Raw genomic sequence first — 1769 nt, forward strand, 5'->3', positions numbered from 1 at the left:
ACCCAGGAGGCAGAGGTTGCAGTGAGCCAAGATCACACCACTGCACTCCAGCCTGGAGGACAGAGCAAGACTCCATCTCCAAAAAAAAAAAAAAGTGCTATGAAGCCTTCCATTATCATGACCTGTTTATAAAAAAGTAAGTAGAGAGGTTAAATCATCGGCTGAAGGCCAAGTGACTAGGAAATGATGGAGCTTGGATCCTTAACAGTCAGATTCCTACATTTATCTTTTTGCCACTGAGCCGTCTGATATGTATTGTTTTTTCTTATATTAAAACTTGCTTTGCATTGGATAATGGATAACTCAGTGTCAAAATGGATTGGCTTTATTACCTTGATGGAGCACAGAACACATTTTAGGATGAAAATGACTGGTAGAAGAGAAAGCTTGCACTGTTTATTCTTCACTGAAGAGCCCTAGCCTTGTGCTTTCTATGTAGTGGTTGCTTCATGAATAAATAAAATCTAAGCAGATCCTCTATTTAAATTATTATTTCCTAAGCTGAGTGAAAATAGATTAAAATAAATACCAAAATATTTGTAGTTGTCATTATTTATGAAGTTCGTTGGTCAACTAGGTTATGAAAATCTTTTGTAACTCACATTGACTCCCCTTTTAGAACACAGACATATTAAAGGGGTGGTTCTGGGATCTGCTTCATGCCAAAAAGGGTCTGTGGAAACTGTGTGACCTTGAGAAAGTCGCTTAACCTCTCCAAACCTTATTCCTTCTTTAGCCAAATAGGGATAATTCTTTATTAGCCAAAGGTGGAGAGTCTAGGTAGATATGTTTTTTTTCATTGTTAAAAACATTCATTTTGATACATAAAGTCAGTAGAGCTTCCACTCTGCCACATATGCCTCTATGAAGAGTCCTGTGCCATTCAACCACGAAATATATTTATTTATTTATTTGAGATAGGGTCTTGCTCTGTCACTCAGGCTAGGTGCCTGAGTGCAGTGGTGCCATCACAGCTCACTGCAGCCTCAACCTCCCAGGCTCAAGCAATCCTCCCACCTCAGCCTCTTGAGTAACTGGAACTATAGGCTCAGCTAATTTTTGTATATTTTGTAGAGTTGGGGTTTTGCCTTGCTACCCAGGCTGATCTCTAATCCTGGGCTCAAGTGATCCACCTGCCTTGACCTCCCAAAGTGCTGGGATTACAGGTGTAAGCCACCATGCCTGGCCGATTAGGGAACATTTGAATGAGGCCCCATTTCTTATCCCCATCAGAGCGCACAGCTCCATGTTGTTCCTGTCCATTGATGGCTTCCAAATCCAGATGATCAAATAGTCCTTTATCTCCAAAGCAGGCTCAAAACGATTGGTTCAGACATCCCAGGCTCTATACCCTTCTTTAGTTCCAGGTAAGTCATGAGATGAATAAAGCCCCAGCAGATGGAAAATTGACTGCCCTTGAAAAGCTACTGCAGCCTCTGCTTGGCCTCTTTGCCCAGCATCACCATGGAGACATCCAGGGTGGCATGGTGAGGTAATAGTTGCTTTCTGATGCCCCTTGTGATAGGATTTGTGACATGAAAATTCTAACTCCTGGACCCATGATATGGTCCCAACTTACTCTCCAGCCTTCTCTCTTATACTCCCCTTTCTGCTGTAGCCCCCAGCACTCTTCCTTCAAGTTTTCTTCCACTAGAATCCCTTCCACCCACATCCACTCTGCAACCGTCTCTCTAACAGCTCTTATGTTTCTTCAGGGCCTAGGCTGTGCCTTGCAGCCTCTGCATTGCTCTAAATCAACCAGGCAGCCC

At 42.9% G+C, this 1769-nt stretch overlaps 1 pseudogene; it reads right to left on the minus strand.

Annotated features, from left to right (window-relative positions):
* Window positions 1-1194: 1194 nt before the first annotated feature.
* On the minus strand, window positions 1195-1466 carry LOC107986231 (mitochondrial import receptor subunit TOM7 homolog; annotated as a pseudogene).
* Between the last annotated feature and the right edge of the window lie 303 nt (window positions 1467-1769).

This window comes from Homo sapiens, chromosome 4, assembly GCF_000001405.40.
Source record: "Homo sapiens chromosome 4, GRCh38.p14 Primary Assembly".
In the NCBI taxonomy this organism is placed as follows: Eukaryota; Metazoa; Chordata; class Mammalia; order Primates; family Hominidae; genus Homo; species Homo sapiens.